The following is a 17,564-nucleotide window of genomic DNA, read 5'->3' on the forward strand; positions in this document are numbered from 1 at the left end:
GAGTCCTCCTACCTCCCAGCTGGCCACACTCCCAGCTGCCCCCCCAGCCCACAGATGGGCCGATGAAGTCAAGATGGCAGTGTCTGCCCATCCCATGTCCCCTAGCCAGACCCCATGTCCAGGAGATGGCCATGTAGTCCCTCGGCACCCACCCGGTTCCCTCCACTGGCCACTGCCTGCCGCAGCCCTGCCTCACAGCCTCAAAGGCAGGCCTGCCCTTCTGGCACCTTTACCCAGGATGCTGCTGTGCAGTGCCTCCAGCTAGGGCCCACCTCTCTAGAGCTGAGGCCACATGGTAGGGTCACCTGATGGAAGGGAGGAAGGCCTCAGGGTCCGGGGTCCCCTGCCACTGCCCAGCTCTTCCAGCTGATGGCTCCACATCTTGGGAGTGGGCTCTGATGCATGATGGGTCAGGGGCTTCTCAGGTTTCTACAGCCCAAATACTGCCCAGCTCTGGAGGCTTCTATCCCACCAGGGACAGGTATAACACAAATCCTTCCCAAAGATCATGCGGTACCTGCTGAGTGGATGACACCCTCAACTCTTTCCCAGAGGCCCAGGGTCTCATGGGGCAGGGAAACAGGGGAAGATGGAGCTCCTCGCAGGCCTGACAAAGGGGCTGAGTCCCAAGCCAAGGCCTCACCCAAGATGAGGATTCTCCATGGGTTTGGAGTTGGGTTTCCTTTTCCTGCCCTGGAGGAGGAGGAAGAGGTACTAGGATGGGGGCTGAGCTCCAGCTGAGCAGGGTTAAGGGAAGTGTGTCCACCAGGCATCTGTGCATGGGGGAGTTGTTGGGGAAGCACTGGCCAGTGTTCTGCCCCAGGGCAGCTCAGGGGGCCCTGAGCACCTAGGGTCCAGGAAGTGCCGTGCATTGAGGTTTGTTGAGTTGGCTCCTCTGGTGTTTTGTTGATGTGGTAAGGAGACAAATGGAGACCCCAGGACAGGGACTCTCCTGTCCCACAAGTGCCCAGCTCCCCCAGGAAGACCTGGCTCACCCCAAGTCAGCAGGAAGCACAGGAAAGTTTCTGCATGGCACAGAAGCCAGGCCCTCCTCAAGAGGGGGCATCACACAGCAGGGGTCAGGATTCAGGCCCGCTGCTATTTCCACATTATTCATTTTATAAGGTGATATGGTTTGGCTGCGTTGCCACCCAAATCTCATCTTGAACTGTAATTTCCATAATCCTCATGTGTCCTGGGAGGGACCCAGTGAGAGGTAACTGAATCATGGCGGCAGTTTCCCCATGCTGTTCTCATGATAGTAAGTGAGTTCTCATGTGATCTGATGGTTTTATAAGCAGCTGGCATTTCCCTTGCTTGAGGTGATGAATGCCCCATTTACCCTGATATGTTTATTACACATTGCATGCCTGTGTCAAACTATCTCATGTACCCCATAAATATATACACCTACCATGTACTCATATAAATTAAAAATAAAAATAAAATTTTTAAAAAAGTGTGAGTTTTAAAGGTGAGGTTTGCCCTCCAGCGCTGGTGCCTGCCAGGTGTGACCTTCACATCATCTTTCCACATGGTCCAGGCCCCCATCTGCAGAGGCCAACAGTTCCCAGAGTGACCTTCCTCAGAAAACAGGGTCTTGGAGGAGACAGTCAGAGGAGGGGGCCTCGTCCTCCCCACTGCACAGCCCCTTGTGGGGATTGGAAGTGAGGGTCTCTGCCCACAAGTTATCAGTCACCCTAAGCTGTTTTGTGGGAGGAAGCATAGGGAATATAGGTCAGTGCTGGGACAGCGTTTCCTGATCCTGACTTGGAGAAGGTGTTAAAATCTTGACATTCCCGACACCTCCTTTGTGAGAGCCCCTGTCCTGCAGGTCTCACAGGGTTGTTGTGAGGGTCACCTGTGGTGATGGGTTTGGAAGTGCTTTGTGAATGACACAGTGGGCCTTCCTATTCCTGTCATTGGCCTTTCGACCTTCAATACTAATTGCCTGGGGATCTCCAGGCCTCAAGGTCTAATCCTGGAAGGGTATGAGATGTCCCTAGTGGAATATTCTACACCTCCTGGGAGGTCTCTCACTTCAACCTTCACCTGACATAACCCCTGCTCCTGTTCCCTCAACCTGGAGAGCTTGCCCAGGAGCACATGGTAGTACTGGACTGACCTCTTTGGAAAGGGTGATTACATCCTGATTTCAGCTCTCCCTCCTCCTAGCTTTCCACGTAGAAATCCAGGGCTCCATGCAGCATTTGCTGGACATGAGGGGAAAACTTTTAGGGCAGGGATCTGCCCTGGGTGGGGACAGAGGAGTATCCTGGAGTCTGAGTGTCAGGAGTGTGAGACCTGCCCAGCTGGCCAGCCCCTGTCCCCATGCTGCTCGATGCATGATGTTTCCTGCACAAGCTTTCTTTAGAGGGAAGCTTCCGGAGTGACTGCAGTGAGGTCCATGCTGTTGGGGGTGACAGAGCAGCCCTGGAGGCCCTCTGCTCTTACCCTGGCAGGAGGTGGCCAAAAAGAAGCAGGCAGAGGAAGCTTCTCCAACACGCTTGGAAAGAAATTTCCACATATCACTCACGTCACTCTTGCCACTAGAAGGAAAATTTCTACAGTGGAGTGGAAGAAAATGACTATGCTGTGAGAGAGAATGGATGCATCCAGAAGAGCAAGGCAGGAGGGAAATGTGCCCATTGCCATAATTTTGTGTCTTTTGAAGACATTTGCCAGAATTCTACTTTTGAAGGCTGCCCCTTTTGACAGTCACTTACTGAGGAAGCTGTGGGACATTTTCAAAGCCTTTTATATAGAAAAAAAAACCACAAAATATACTGCTGTGGGTCTGTGTTCAGAGACTACGAAGAGCACAGATGCCACTGTTCTGTGTCGCAGATGCTGTGGGAAGTGCCTTAACACACAGAGGTTTGCTTCATGCAACCGGGTGAGGAACATCTCTAAAACATTTTACAGTCAAGGAAATTCAGTGTTCAGGAGGTTGAATGCGTTATCCAAGATCACACATATGTCCTGACAGATTCGGGGTTCAATGAAGAATTATGTATTTTAATTAAGAATTATGTATTTTGATTAATAATTATATATTTTAATTTCACATTTTAAATTTCTGCAGTTTTCTTCCATCACTTTTCACCATGCTTTCTACACTTGGAATTACTTTTTTTGACTTCTTGATCTTCTTTACTTGTATGTTATTGATTTTCTACAAGTTTTAACATATATGATTAAAGAGTATTTCTTAATGTTTTAATAATTATCCTAGAATAAAATATATTTACTTTGATGTATGCATTGGATATTACAGTGTATTGTGTACATTTTCAAACACTTTGTGTTATACCAGAAGCATTATTCAACAGTGGTCATTTTTTTACCTGAACTATGTTCAGAAAATCTTTCCACCACAGTACAAAAAGATCGACTTCATTTTGTTAACAGATGGATGTGCCATAGTGCAATTAACTGTTTAATTATCCTGTTATCCTGTTGTGGATATTTAAGTTCAAACAATGCAGTAATAAATATGTAAGAGTGCTTTTAGACATTAAACAATGTGGCTCTAAATTAGGAACTAGTGCCTGTAATCCCAGCACTTTAGGAGGTCGAGGTGGGTGGATCACCTGAGGTCAGAAGTTTTAAGACCAGCCTGGCCAACATGGCAAATCCCCGTTTCTACAAAAAATACAAAAATTAGCTGGGTATGGTGATGCGCACTTGTAGCCCCTGCTACTCGGGAGGCTGAGGTAGGACAATTGCCTGAACCCACGAGGCAGAGGTTGCAGTGAGCTGAGATCCTGTCACTGCACTCCAGTCTGGGGGACAGAGTGAGACTCTGTCCCAATAATAAATAAATAAATAAATAATCTAGAAGTACAATTGCTTAGCCAAATTTCTTATGCATTTTGAATGATAAGAGTTACTGCCTAATTTCTGTTACAAAGGCTATGGTAATTTACACTCAAAACACAGAATAGGTTGGTTGTTGTCACATATGGAGTCTTACTGTTGCCGAGACTGGAGTGCAGTGGTGTAATCCTAGCTCGTTGTAGCCTCCAACGCCTAGGCTCAAGCAATCCTCCCACCTCAGCCTCCCTCCCAATTAACTAGGATTACAGGTGCATGCCACCACACCCGGCTAATTTTATTCTTAGATATGAGATCTTGCTATGTTGCCCAGGCTGGTCTTGAAATCCTGGCCTCAAGGTGACCTCAGCCTCCAGTGTAGCTGACATTACAGGCGTGAGACACTGTACCTGGCTGAATGAGTGCCTCTATCCTGACACTTGTGTCCCCACGGGATCCTGCAGAATTCAGGACCCTGTCCACACAGGGGAAAACTCTCTGTTGCAGTCCTGATGACTGAGAAGGGAGCTTACCCATGGCTCTCTTGGTCATTTTTATTTAATAGTGAGCACAGAACCTCACATTTTCTGGAATGTTCCCATATGATTTTGTGAGAGAAAAGAGAATAGAGACCCCAACTCCAAGCTCACTGTGTCAAAGGGAAAATTAAGCTTGGGAACTGAGTTACGCAATACTGCCTTCCTTGTTCTCAAACACATAGCCATAACTTCACAACCCTGTGTCATAGCCTCATCCATAAGCCAGGTTCCCACAGTGACAGAAGGCCACATGTCTCCTCAGATGTCCTCCCTCACAATTTGCTGTGAACCCCTAAATCTTTCAGAATGCACATCCCACCTGTAAACTATCCCTAAAAGTGAGTCGGCTCAATTTCACCCTGACAATCTCAATTACCAGCTTATTTTCATAGTTCTGGGACAAGGTCAGGACCAGAAATCATCCCTCTGCCTACCCTGAGATGAATGAATCATTGAGTTTTCCTCTACTCCACTCCCTCTATTCACATGCTTACTTTATCTTATGTAAAATGGAGATTTACTGAATGTGAGATGAACGCATAACTGTTTCCTCTGCTCCCTCCTTTCCTATGTAAAATGTAGATATCCTGATGCTAATCAGAGCCACACAAGAATGCAAGCATTTGCTTCACTGCCTACCTTCAGTCTCATGGGAGTTCTCTGGATTTCTTGTATCAGCATGTGGACCTCTTTAGCAAGATTGAGGACAGTTTCCTGAATTATATCCTCAAAAACATTTCCCAAGTTGCTCACTTTCTCTTCTTCTCTGTTAGAAATGCCAATAAGTCATCCGGGCACAGTGGCTCATGCCAGTAATCCCAGCACTTTGGGAGGCCAAGGTGGGAGGATCACCTGAGGCCAGAAGTTTGAGACCTAACTGGCCAGCATGGCGAAACCCCATCTCTACTAAAAATACAAAAATGAGCGAGGCATGCTGGCACACGCCTGTAATCTCAGATACTTGGGAGGCTGAGGCACGAGAATTGCTTGAACCCAGGAGGTGGAGGTTTCAGTGAGCCAAGATCATGCCACTGCATTACAGACTGGGTAACAGAGTGAGATTCTGTCTCAAAAAAAGAAAATTCCAATAAGTCATAGATTTTGTTCCTTTACCTAATCCTACATTTCTCAAAAGTTTGGTTCATTACTTTTAAATTCTTTTTTTATTTTTGTCTGACTGGGTTGATTCAAAGGTCTGGTCTTTGAGCTCTTAAATTATTTCTTCTATTTGGTCTAGTCTGTTGCTAAGGCTGTGAACTGTTTTTTGAAATTCCTATAGTAAATTTTTCAATGCAAGAAGCTCTGCTTGGTTCTTTCTCAAAATGGCTATGTTGTCATTCAAATCCAGGATCGTTGTTATGGGGTTGTTGTTGGATTTCAACTTTCTGTTGGATTTTGGTGATTTTTTTTTGCCACTTATATCTTGAATACTATACCTGTCATTTCAGACGTTCCATTCTGGTTAGGACTCATTGCTAGATTGCTGGTGTAATCCTTTGGAGGTGATGGAACATTCTGGCTTTTTGTATTGCCAGAGTTCTTGTGATGGTTTCTTCTCATCTGAGAGACTTGATGCTTCCTTTGTTGAATTTGCTATCATTTGGAAAGAGTTTTTTTTTTTTAATTTTTCATTCTTTCTTTCTCTTAAGGGTATGACTGTGGTGTATGTTGTATAGGATCATTTTGCTTCATTTCTGGGTACTTTCAGAGGACCAAGGCTCTGTACAAGTTCCTTGGTTGCAGATAGGCTCCTGTAGTGGCTTGGTGTGGTGATGTATTTTTGTTTGGTGGTGTAATTCAGGCTTCAGTCCAGTAGAAGGTGCTTAAGAGTAACAGCTGGCTGCAGGGTCTTCTCCTCTGTGTACTTGTCCTCGACAGGTGCAGAAGTGACGAAGTGCCAAAAGCACCCTGTCCCAGTGTGTACTAGTCTTCAGCAGGGGCAGAGCTGCTGGAGAAACCTAAGAAGCAGCCTCTTTCAGCCCACGTTCCTTGGGCCCCAACAGGATGACCACTGCTGGATCTGCAGCAGTGCACTAGGAAGGGGACAGAGGGCAAGAGATGACCACCTCTCTAAATCTGTTCCCAGGCTTTGGTGTGCCCCTTTCAGCAGCTGATATCGTGATCATGTTTCCTTTGACCCAAGGGGTGGCTTTGGCAAGCTGTATTCCTCCTTCCCTTAGGGCTGGTCCTCACCAAAGTTTAGGTCTCCTGGGGAATGGGGTTCACCTCCCTCTTGTTTCTTGGAGCTGATGGAGTACTCTCTCAACTGACCAAGGGAGCAGGCTGAGACACCCAGCAATGACACACACAGACCAGTTCCAGGTTGCAAAGCTGTTCTTGGCTGCAAGTCTCACCATCCTTGAGAAACCTCTGCTTTAGCAACTCTCTTCCCACTACAGTCCTGCAAGAGGAGAGAGCCTAATTCCAACACTTACTGCTGGGGCACTTTCCACACTTAACACTCAATTCTGGCTGTTGAGGCTGCTCCTCTGCTCCAGAGCAAGCACTCCAATTCCTAGCCCAAGATTAAAGTGTCTGCAGTGGCCACCATTGCCAGGCACCAAAAAATGATTGACTTTGTATGAGCCCAGATTAAAAAGGTCATCCTTCTCTCAGTCCCAGGTCTGGGGAAATGCCTGCAGCTTTTCTGAGTGTCTTTCCTCTTTCCCCATCTCTCAGCCACTTTTGTGCTAGCTCCAAGGCTTGGGAGAAACAGAGTGCTCTCCCTTAATCTGGATTGCACAGATCCCCAGTGAAAATGTGAGTTGCAGAGGGAGACTGGCTGCTCTTCTCTTGTACTGGAGTTTCACTCCCTTTTATGAACCAAATGCTATCACAGAGTCTGCTTTCCCACCTCCCCCTCCACAGGGTCTGGAGTGTTTTTCTGTATTCCTGTGAATTCCTATTTTTCTTCTTGAATTGAAGCTCACAAAGTTTATCTTTATGCTTATTTTTCTACTTCCAAGTGGCTGAGGCACACTGAAAGCCCCTAATCCATCATTCTAGGAAAAAAGGATGGTTTAAATAAAGGAATGTTCACATAAAATATATATTAATTAGTGCAAACATATTTTATTTGACATGAGTTAGGTGAATCTTTGATACATTAATTAATTTTAAAATTGTTAAATAAAATTAGAAATATCTTCGAATTTGCCAAGGTATGTTTCTCTCCTGGGATTACTGGTCAGTTTTATTTTTTCCTTGGATAGACATTTGAAGCCATAAATCTTGACATAGACCTGATGTAGACCTCCATACCTTTCCCAGATGTGGGACGGAGCAACTGGGACAGGTCCATCCTAGCACTAAGGGATGATTAAACCTAACTTGTAGTCTTTGTACAACTATAAACATGGTTGATGCTTTAAGAGAAAGATCTTGATGGAAAGGGTTAAATGTAAAAATTGATCATATGAATTGGGTCATTCTTATCACACCAAATAAAACCATCAACAAGCCAGGGGGAGGAGGCATTCAGGGCAAAAACACCACTCCAAAAGCATAATTCTCTGCATGCCTGGCTGCTGAAATTACCTGCTTTAAGCTGAAACCAGTTTTATCAAATGGTTACTGAAACAACCTCTTGAACACTAAGACTAGCTTTACCCACCACTGTCCCTCACCTATCAGAGCCTGCCAGCTCTCAAAAACCTTACTGGTGCCAGTGAACTTTCTCAAAGAGAAATACATACCGTTTTTCTCTCTGTCTCCCTTTTTTATAAAACCTCTAACTTTCTCTTTATGTTTTGGACATACTAAAGACACCCATTCTGCATGTATGTGTGAAATTGTAATACTTGTATCTCAAATAAAACATTTTAATTTCAGATGTTTGTCTCTATATTTATTTGACTTTGACAATCTGATATTATTTAGCATTATTTCCAGTCTCCCAAATAATGTCAAAATTTTGTTATGTTAGATAGGAATATCTTGTTATTCAACTTGAAGGTAAACTGCTTGATCAATGCATGTAATTCCTTGACAGATTGTCAGCACCTCTAAGACAACATGTAGATATTGCTCATTATTAACACATTTCATCTTTTCATGATAAATTACAAAAATTTAATTTTCATTTTTAAAATGCAAACCATTATGCCTTGTATTATGGCATTCTTGCGTTACTATAAAGGAATACCTAAGCACTACATAATTTATACTGAAAAAAAAGATTGACTTGGCTCACAGTTCTGCAGGCTGTACAGGAAGCTTTGCATTGGCAGTTGCTTGACTTCAAGAAGGGTCCTCAGGGAGCTTTTACACATGGCAGAAGGTGAAGCAAAAGAAGGTATGTCACATGGCCAGAGCAGCAGCAAGCAGGGAGAGGTGTCACACACTTTTAACAGCCAGATGTAATGAGAACTCACTCACTCTTGCAAGGACAGTGCCAAGAGGATGGTGTTAAACATGAGAAATCAGCCTTCATGACCCCATCACCTCCCACCAGACCCCGACTCCAACACTGGAAATTACAATTCGACATGAGACTTAAAGGGTACAACATCCAAACTATTTCATTCCATCCCTGGCCCTTCAAATCTCATGTTCTTCTCACATTGCAAAATACAATCATCCCTTCTCAATAGTCCCCCAAAAGTCTCAACCTGTTTCGGCATCACTCGAAAGTGCAGTTTCTTCTGAGACAAGGCAAGTCCCTTCCACTGATGAGCCTGTAAAATCAAAACAAGTTATTTACTTCTAAGATAAAATTGGGGTACAGGCATTGGGTAAACATTCCCATTACAAAAGGAGAAATTGGCCAAAAGAAAGGGGCTACAGGCCCCACACAAGTTCAAATCCCAGCAGGGCAGTCATTAAAACTCGATGTTCCAAAATAATCTCCTTTGAAACCATGTCCCACATCCTGGGAACATAGAGCGTTCCCACGATGCATAGGGTGGGCTCCCAAGGCCTTGGGCTGCTCTGCTCCCACAGCTCTTCTACACTGAAGGCATGAGCTGCTGGTGGCTCTATCATTCTGGGATCTGGAGGGCAGCAGCCCCCCTCCCACAGCTCCACTAGGCCGCCCCCCCAGTCAGGACCCTGAGTGGGGCCTCCAACCCCACATTTCCACTTGGCACTGTCCTAGAAGAGGTCCTCTTTGAGAGCTCCAGCCGTGCATAGTCTTCTCCCTGGGCATCCAGCCTTTCTCATACATCCTCTGAAATTTAGGCAGAGAATGCCAAGCCTCCTTCACTCTTGCACTTTGCTTACCTGCAGGCTTAACGCCACATGGAAGCCACCAAGGCTTATAGTTTGCACCCACTGAAGCCATGACCTGAGCTCTATCTGCAGCCCTTTGAACCAAGGCTGGAGCTAGAAGGGCCAGGATGCAAGGAACACCCTCCTGGGGGTGGTACAGGACAGTGATGCCCTGGCCCTGGTCCAAGTGGAACAGGAATTAAAAGAAATTAAAGAATGTGTAAGCAGAAACTCAGTTGTATGTGAGAAAACCCAATTCCCCCTGAGAAAGAGAAAGAGCTGGAGCCCTTTAAAAATTAACTGCCTGTTTTTCTGTGGCTAGTGAGCTTCATCTCTCCTTCTTTCCCAGGCATTGTGAAGACCCTGTTTCCCTAGCTGTGCAGCTGCAAGGTCACTAGACAGATAAACTCAAGTCATAAAACATGTTTTTCCTTGAAAAGTAAGAAATGATATAATGCATGTCTCAATTAATTGAATAACTGTCTTTGTTTCTCGCTTCTGTAATATGCTTCCCCCTGCACAGATCTCCCCACTCCCCACCACCCCACAAAATGCTTAAAAGTTAACTTAAGTCTTTGTTCAGGACTCAGTCCTTTGGATGTTAATCTGACTGGGCCAGTGCACCTAAATAATAAATATCCTCCTCAACCCCATCAGTCTCTCTGATTCCTTAAAAAATCCCACTACAGCCTGGGCATGGTGGCTCATGCCTGTAATCCCAGCACTTTGGGAGGCTGAGGCAGGCAGATCACGAGGTCAGGAGATTGAGACTATCATGGCTGAGACAGTGAAAACCCGTCTCTACTAAAAATACAAAAAATTAGCCAGGCATGGTGGCAGTCACCTGTAGTCCCAACTACTTGGGAGGCTGAGACAGGAGAATGGCATGTCCCGGAAGGCAGAGCTTGCAGTGAGCTGAGATTGTGCCACTGCACTCCAGCCTGGGTGACAGAGTGAGACTCCATCTCAAAATAAATAAATAAATAAATAAATTAATTAATTAATTAATTTTTAAAATCCCACTACACAAGAAACCATTCTTTCATCCTAGACCTCTAGGTCTGTGCTAGGATGAGCTGCTACAAAGATTTCTGAAATGCCTTCAAGGCCTTTTTTTAATTTTCTTGGCTATCAGCACCTAGCTCTTTTTCAGTTATGTAAATGTCTCTAATAAGTGGTTGCTCCACAGCCTGTTAGATTCTTCCCCTGAAAATGCTTTATCTTCCTTTGCCAAATGGGCAGGCTGCAAATTTTCTATACTTGTATGGTCTGCTTCCCATTTAATTGTAAATTCCAACTTTAAGTCATTTTTTTGCTCCTGTGTCTGAGTGTTCAAACTTCCTCAGATCCCTAGTACATGAACAGACTGCAGCCAAGTTCTTTGCAAAGGCATAACAGGCATGACCTTTATTCCAAGTCTCAGTAAGTTCCTCATTTTCATCTGAGACCGCATCAGCCTATCCTTCACTGTCCATATCACTATCAGCATTTTGGTCACAACCATTTAACTAGTCTCTAAGAAATTCAGAACTTTCCTTCATCTTCCTGTATTAGGAGCAGTCCAAACTCTTCCAACTCCTGCCCATTACCTAGTTCCAAAGTCACTTCCACACTTTCAAGTATCTTTATAGCAATGCCCCATGTCTCAGTACCAATTTGCTGTATTAGGCCATTCTTACATTGCTGTGAAGAAATACCTGAGACTGGGTAATTTATAAAGAAAAGAGCTTTGAAAAGAGGTTTGTATAGCTGCAGGCTGTACAAACATGATTCTGGCATCTGCCTAGCTTCTGGTGAGGCCTCAGGAGGCTTTATTCATGGCAGAAGATGAAGAAGGAGCAGGCAGGCACATCACCTGGCAAGGCAGGGGAAGCACCACACACTTTTAAACAAATAGATCTTGCAAGAATTCACTCACTCTCACAAGGACAGCACCAGGGACAGGATGCTAGACCATTTCTGAGAAATCCACCCCCATGATCCAATCACCTCCTTCCAGACCTACCACCAACATTGGGGGTATCACAATTCAACATGAGATTTAGAGGGAACAACATCTGAGGTATTTCATGCCTCATGTTGTGACTTGGTATAATGTCCATAAGATTACACTGACTTTACACATCATATTGCAGTTTTTGCTAGCTCTTCTGTAGTAAGAAAATGGAATTCATCAGCAATGCCTTCTAAGTCTGGCTCTGTTTTCCCATGCAGACTTTTCCCTGAGCTCTGCTTGTCAGTCTTGCTAGAACCTCACCCTAGGCAGCAACCTCCAGTCTGAGATTGCCCTTGACAGTGGCTGAGGTTTGCATTGTTGGAATGGATTAGAAAAAACAAAGGGAAGACAGACCAAAACACATTTAAATACGGATCCCATTTGTTGAAGTTTTAAGTAATTTTAAATGTTTATTTGCACCAGCTGCCCACTCCCATTGTACTCTCCTCACCCAAAAAGGTGACTTGATATTCTAGTAAAAAGCCAAACTGTGCTTTAGAGAAACCCACTTGTTACTTCTTTAAATCCATATAATTTTGCCAAAGTGAATTTTTGTTAATATGCTCTGGCAGAATCAGTAAACTAATTATTTACACCAGAGTCACTTAACCTTTCCTCTTGGTCATTTGCATGTAAATTATTTTTATATGTATAAAATTTGCTTACTCAAGAAAGCTCTTGCTATATATATATATATTTTTTTTTTTGTGGTATCTTAACATACTCTAGTCTTGTCTTGAATTCCTTAAGACTTTGAGGTAAAGAACTCTCTTGTAACAAGTTTCCAAATCAAAGTGGGAAAGAGGAAGATTAGGTTAAGCATTAGGTCATCAGGTATGTAGGACAGCTAATTCCATTATCAGAATGGTAGTGATAGCCAGTTTGCATTTTGCATATTAGTTGTAACAAAAATATTCAGCATATTAGTGACAAAACCAAAGTTATTGTGAATCAGTTTATAATTTATTTTTTGAGATAGGGTCTTAATCTGTCACCCAAGCTCAAGTGCAGAGGTGTGATCTTGGTTCACTGAAGCCTCAACCACCTGGGCTCAAGAGATCCTCCCAGCCCAGCCTCCTTAGTACAGGTGAGTGCCACCACACCCAGCTATTTTTTTCTCTACTTTTTGTAGAGATTGGGTCTCACTTTGTTGCCAAGGCTGTTCTCAAAATCCTGGGCTCAAGCAATCCTTCTGCCTCAACCTCCCAAGTGGTGCTGGGATTACAGGTTTGAGCCACCGCACCTGGCCAGTTTATAATGTTAATGGCTTTTGGAGCAGGAACCAGTGGGTGCTGCCTCTTGTCTGCAAGATGAGGAGTCTCCTCTCCCCAGAAGTGAGGCATCTTCTACCACAAGGGAGGCTTTGCCCAAACAGTCACCGAAAGGCTGAGATTGGGAAGGGAACAAAACAGGAGTGAATATGTTCCTGGAACCTAACTGCCCCCCAATTCAACTCTACTGCAGACATTCAGAATGAAGGGGACATTCAGCTGAAGAACAGGAGTTAAAAGAACAGCTGTTAAAATCTCAGATTGTAAAAACAATTTTGCTTCATTTTCCCTAAATAATTTTTAAACAATTGTTCTTAGGTGATATTCTAAACTTCGGGTAATATCTGTGACTTAGTAAATGTTCTTTAAAAGATGGGATAATATTTTTATTTTGTTTAATTATATGTGTTTTTAAACTAATTTTATAGGAAAAATAATTTCTTTCCTTCCCTGTTATACCAAATACAGCCTTTAGCTCAAGACACAAGTAATTCCAGGAAAACTGGAATGTAAGTTCAATATGTTGCACTAAGTACATTTGAAAGTGCATGCATTTTTATTTTAATTCATCATTCTCAGTCAACTATCGCAAGGACAAAAAACGAAACACCGCATGTTCTCACTCATAGCTGGGAATTGAACAATGAGAACACATGGACACAGGAAGGGGAACATCACACTCTGGGGGCTGTTGTGGGTGGGGAGAGGGGTGAGGGATAGCATTAGGAGATATGCCTAAGGCTAAATGTCGAGTTAATGGGTTCAGCACACCAGCATGGCACATGTATACATATGTAATGTATACATATGTTAATGCACCAATTCTGCATCAAGTCAGTGCAATCAGAGACACTGCAAGAATGACTTTTGGTTTTCTTTTCCTAGTTTTTGGAAGTTTCTCAAGTCTGTCATACTGGACTCTATATTACATCTCGAATTTTTTTCACTTACTATAGATCTCCTATACGCTCAATTGTTTAGCTATTACCTTAACATTTACCCTGTGAACCCATGACATTTGAGGCTGCCAAAGTGATTATTACATGATAAAACATATACTTGGTTAAAGGCAATATTTAACAATTGTAAAACCAATAAATCAATAATTAAATCTTTCTGGCTTAGACTTAAAACTGCTTAATTTAGTCATATCTCTACCCACAACATAGAGATTCCAACAAGGGTTGAAAGTAGAGTTGGCAAGCATTTCCATTCTCTTCTGGGATAATAATTCTTACTACCAACACTGGTTCTGACCAGTGAAATTCAAAATCAGTGAAACACTACCCAGAGTCTGAGTGAACCAAAAATAGTTTCACTTTAGGAAAAAGTCTATATCCTTAGATGTGAGTGATTCTCTGTGAACATTTTATTCACTTTAATATATTTAAAGAAAATCTTTCTGAATTGGTGTGTTTTCTTTAGTTTGTATTCTGATACTTTAATGCTAAAAGCTCTTGATTTTAAGTTTTCATGGAGGGGCTATCTACATAATTTTTATACATCATTATATGCATCAATAATTAAAAAGGAGTAGAAATTTTTTCACTAATTGAGAAATATTATAGACCTAACAAAATGAGGGCAAACTATAAGCAATTTGGGGAAACTATAAGGATGTAATTAAATAGTCACTGTTTTTAGAAACCATTAACTGCATATTGAAATCTTAACACTTGTTGGGAAAACGAGGTGGTAAATCAACTTGTCAGCATGAGTACTAAATAAAACAAAATATGGTTAAGTTCAGATAGTAGTTCTGCAATTTCTGATTTTAAATGTTTCTGCAAAATAGTTTATCTGAACGATTAAACTATTATTCTGTGTTCACCAACCATTAAGAAAATCTGCTCTATGGCCAGGTTAAACCTGAAAGTGGTACAATTCAAAACTTGATGTAGGCAATAGGTATGTATAATGTATTTATTCTAATATGAGAGGGTATATCAAAGTAATTTTCTTGGAGCACAGTGTCAAAACAAAGCAATGGGATTTGGCCATGGACATTTCATTATTATCAAAGAGACTTGGACACTACCTTAGAGTAATAACTTTATTATTTAACAAAGATGTTTTATAAAAAGAACAACAAAATGAGAGGAATAGAAATCACGCAGGTAAAACAGATAATCTGATTTTGTGGGTCTCAGAGCAGAGATTAGTGTCTTTCAGTTTCAGAGTAAATGACCTCACTGCATTTCTCTGAACTGTCATGGTTGTCACAAATATACTGTGTTCTAACACACTCCATGATTTAAGGTCTACAAAGTAACAAAGGCAAAATAACCTATATGCTCTACCATATTTTCCTCAATTCTAGTGTTCTTCAAAGAGAGAATGTTTTCTCTAAATCTAATTGAGAGTAATTCTGTATGGATCGGTAAACATTTCTTCAGGCAGTTGGAGTAATATGTGTCTAGGGCTAACTCAGAGGGGTCTTTTATGTCTTTTAATAGAAGCTAACTATACTCTTGTGATATGATAATCACCATCATTGACTTACAGTTTCTAAGGTTTGAAGGTATATTGAACACTCAAGGGGCTCACATTCTTACTGATTCATGAATCTCTTCAGGTCCAGGGAACTTAGTATTTTTCAAGAGTGCAAAATGCCTAGAGACAGCTGGGAACAAATGAATGTCATTCCTGATACTGTGCTCATAGTTACTTGAGTTTCATCTCAGAAAATAAATTGTCTGGTGCAATATTTCTTACAACTTAGTTCCTAAATGAACTCAACAAACTAGTTCTTTTGTTTTATTTTATTTTATTACTATTATACTTTAAGTTTTAGGGTACATGTGCACAACGTGCAGGTTTGTTACATATGTATACATGTGCCATGTTGGTGTGCTGCACCCATTAACTCGTCATTTAACATTAGGTATATCTCCTAATGCTATCCCTCCCCACTCCCCCCACCCCACAACCGTCCCTGGTGTGTGATGTTCCCCTTCCTGTGTCCATGTGTTATTGTTCAATTCCCACCTATGAGTGAGAACATGCAGTGTTTGGTTTTTTGTCCTTGTGATAGTTTGCTAAGAATGATGGTTTCCAGCTTCATCCATGTCCTTACAAAGGACATGAACTCATCATTTTTTATGACTGCATAGTATTCCATGGTGTATATGTGCCATATTTTCTTAATCCACTCTATCATTGTTGGACATTTGGATTGGTTCCAAGTCTTTGCTATTGTGAATAGTGCCACAATAAACATACATGTGCATGTGTCTTTATAGCAGCATGATTTATAATCCTTTGGGTATATACGCAGTAATGGGATAGCTGGGTCAAAAGGTATTTCTAGCTCTAGATCCCTGAGGAATTGCCACACTGACTTCCACAATGGTTGAACTAGTTTACAGTCCCACCAACACTGTAAAAGTGTTCCTATTTCTCCACATCCTCTCCAGCACCTGTTGTTTCCTGACTTTTTAATGATTGCCATTCTAACTGGTGTGAGATGGTATCTCATTGTGGTTTTGATTTGCATTTCTCTGATGGCCAGTGATGATGAGCATTTTTTCATGTTTTTTGGCTGCATAAATGTCTTCTTTTGAGAAGTGTCTGTTCATATCCTTCGCCCACTTTTTGATGGGGTTGTTTGTTTTTTTCTTGTAAATTTGTTTGAGTTCATTGTAGATTCTGGATATTAGCCCTTTGTCAGATGAGTAGGTTGCAAAAATTTTCTCCCATTTTGTAGGTTGCCTGTTCACTCTGATGGTAGTTTCTTTTGCTGTGCAGAAGCTCTTTAGTTTAATTAGATCCCATTTGTCAATTTTGTCTTTTGTTGCCATTGCTTTTGGTGTTTTAGACATGAAGTCCTTGCCCACGCCTATGTCCTGAATGGTATTGCCTAGGTTTTCTTCTAGGGTTTTTATGGCTTTAGGTCTAACATATAAGTCTGGAATCCATTTTGAATTAATTTTTGTATAAGGTGTAAGGAAGGGATCCAGTTTCAGCTTTCTACATATGGCTAGCCAGTTTTCCCAGCACCATTTATTAAATAGGGAATCCTTTCCCCATTTCTTCTTTTTGTCAGGTTTGTCAAAGATGAGATAGTTGTAGATATGCGGCATTATTTCTGAGGGCTCTGTTCTGTTCCTTTGGTCTATATCTCTGTTTTGGTACCAGTACCATGCTGTTTTGGTTACTGTAGCCTTGTAGTATGGTTTGAAGTCAGGTAGTGTGATGCCTCCAGCTTTGTTCTTTTGGCTTAGGATTGACTTGGAAATGTGGGCTCTTTTTTGGTTCCATATGAACTTTAAAGTAGTTTTTTTCCAATTCTGTGAAGAAAGTCATTGATAGCTTGATGGGGATGGAATTGAATCTATCAATTACCTTGGGCAGTATGGCCGTTTTCATGATATTGATTCTTCCTACCCATGAGCATGGAATGTTCTTCCATTTGTTTGTATCCTCTTTTATTTCATTGAGCAATGGTTTGTAGTTCTCCTTGAAGAGGTCCTTCACATCCCTTGTAAGTTGGATTCCTAGGTATTTTATTCTCTTTAAAGCAATTGTGAATGGGAGTTCCCTCATGATTTGGCTCTCTGTCTGTTATTGATGTATAAGAATGGTTGTGATTTTTGCACATTGATTTTTTATCCTGAGACTTTGCTGAAGTTGCTTATCAGCTTAAGGAGATTTTAGGCTGAGATAATGGGTTTTTCTAGATATACAATCATGTCATCTGCAAACAGGGACAATTTGGCTTCCTCTTTTCCTAAT

Source organism: Homo sapiens (genome assembly GCF_000001405.40).
Source record: "Homo sapiens chromosome 9 unlocalized genomic scaffold, GRCh38.p14 Primary Assembly HSCHR9_UNLOCALIZED_CTG3".
Taxonomy (NCBI): domain Eukaryota; kingdom Metazoa; phylum Chordata; class Mammalia; order Primates; family Hominidae; genus Homo; species Homo sapiens.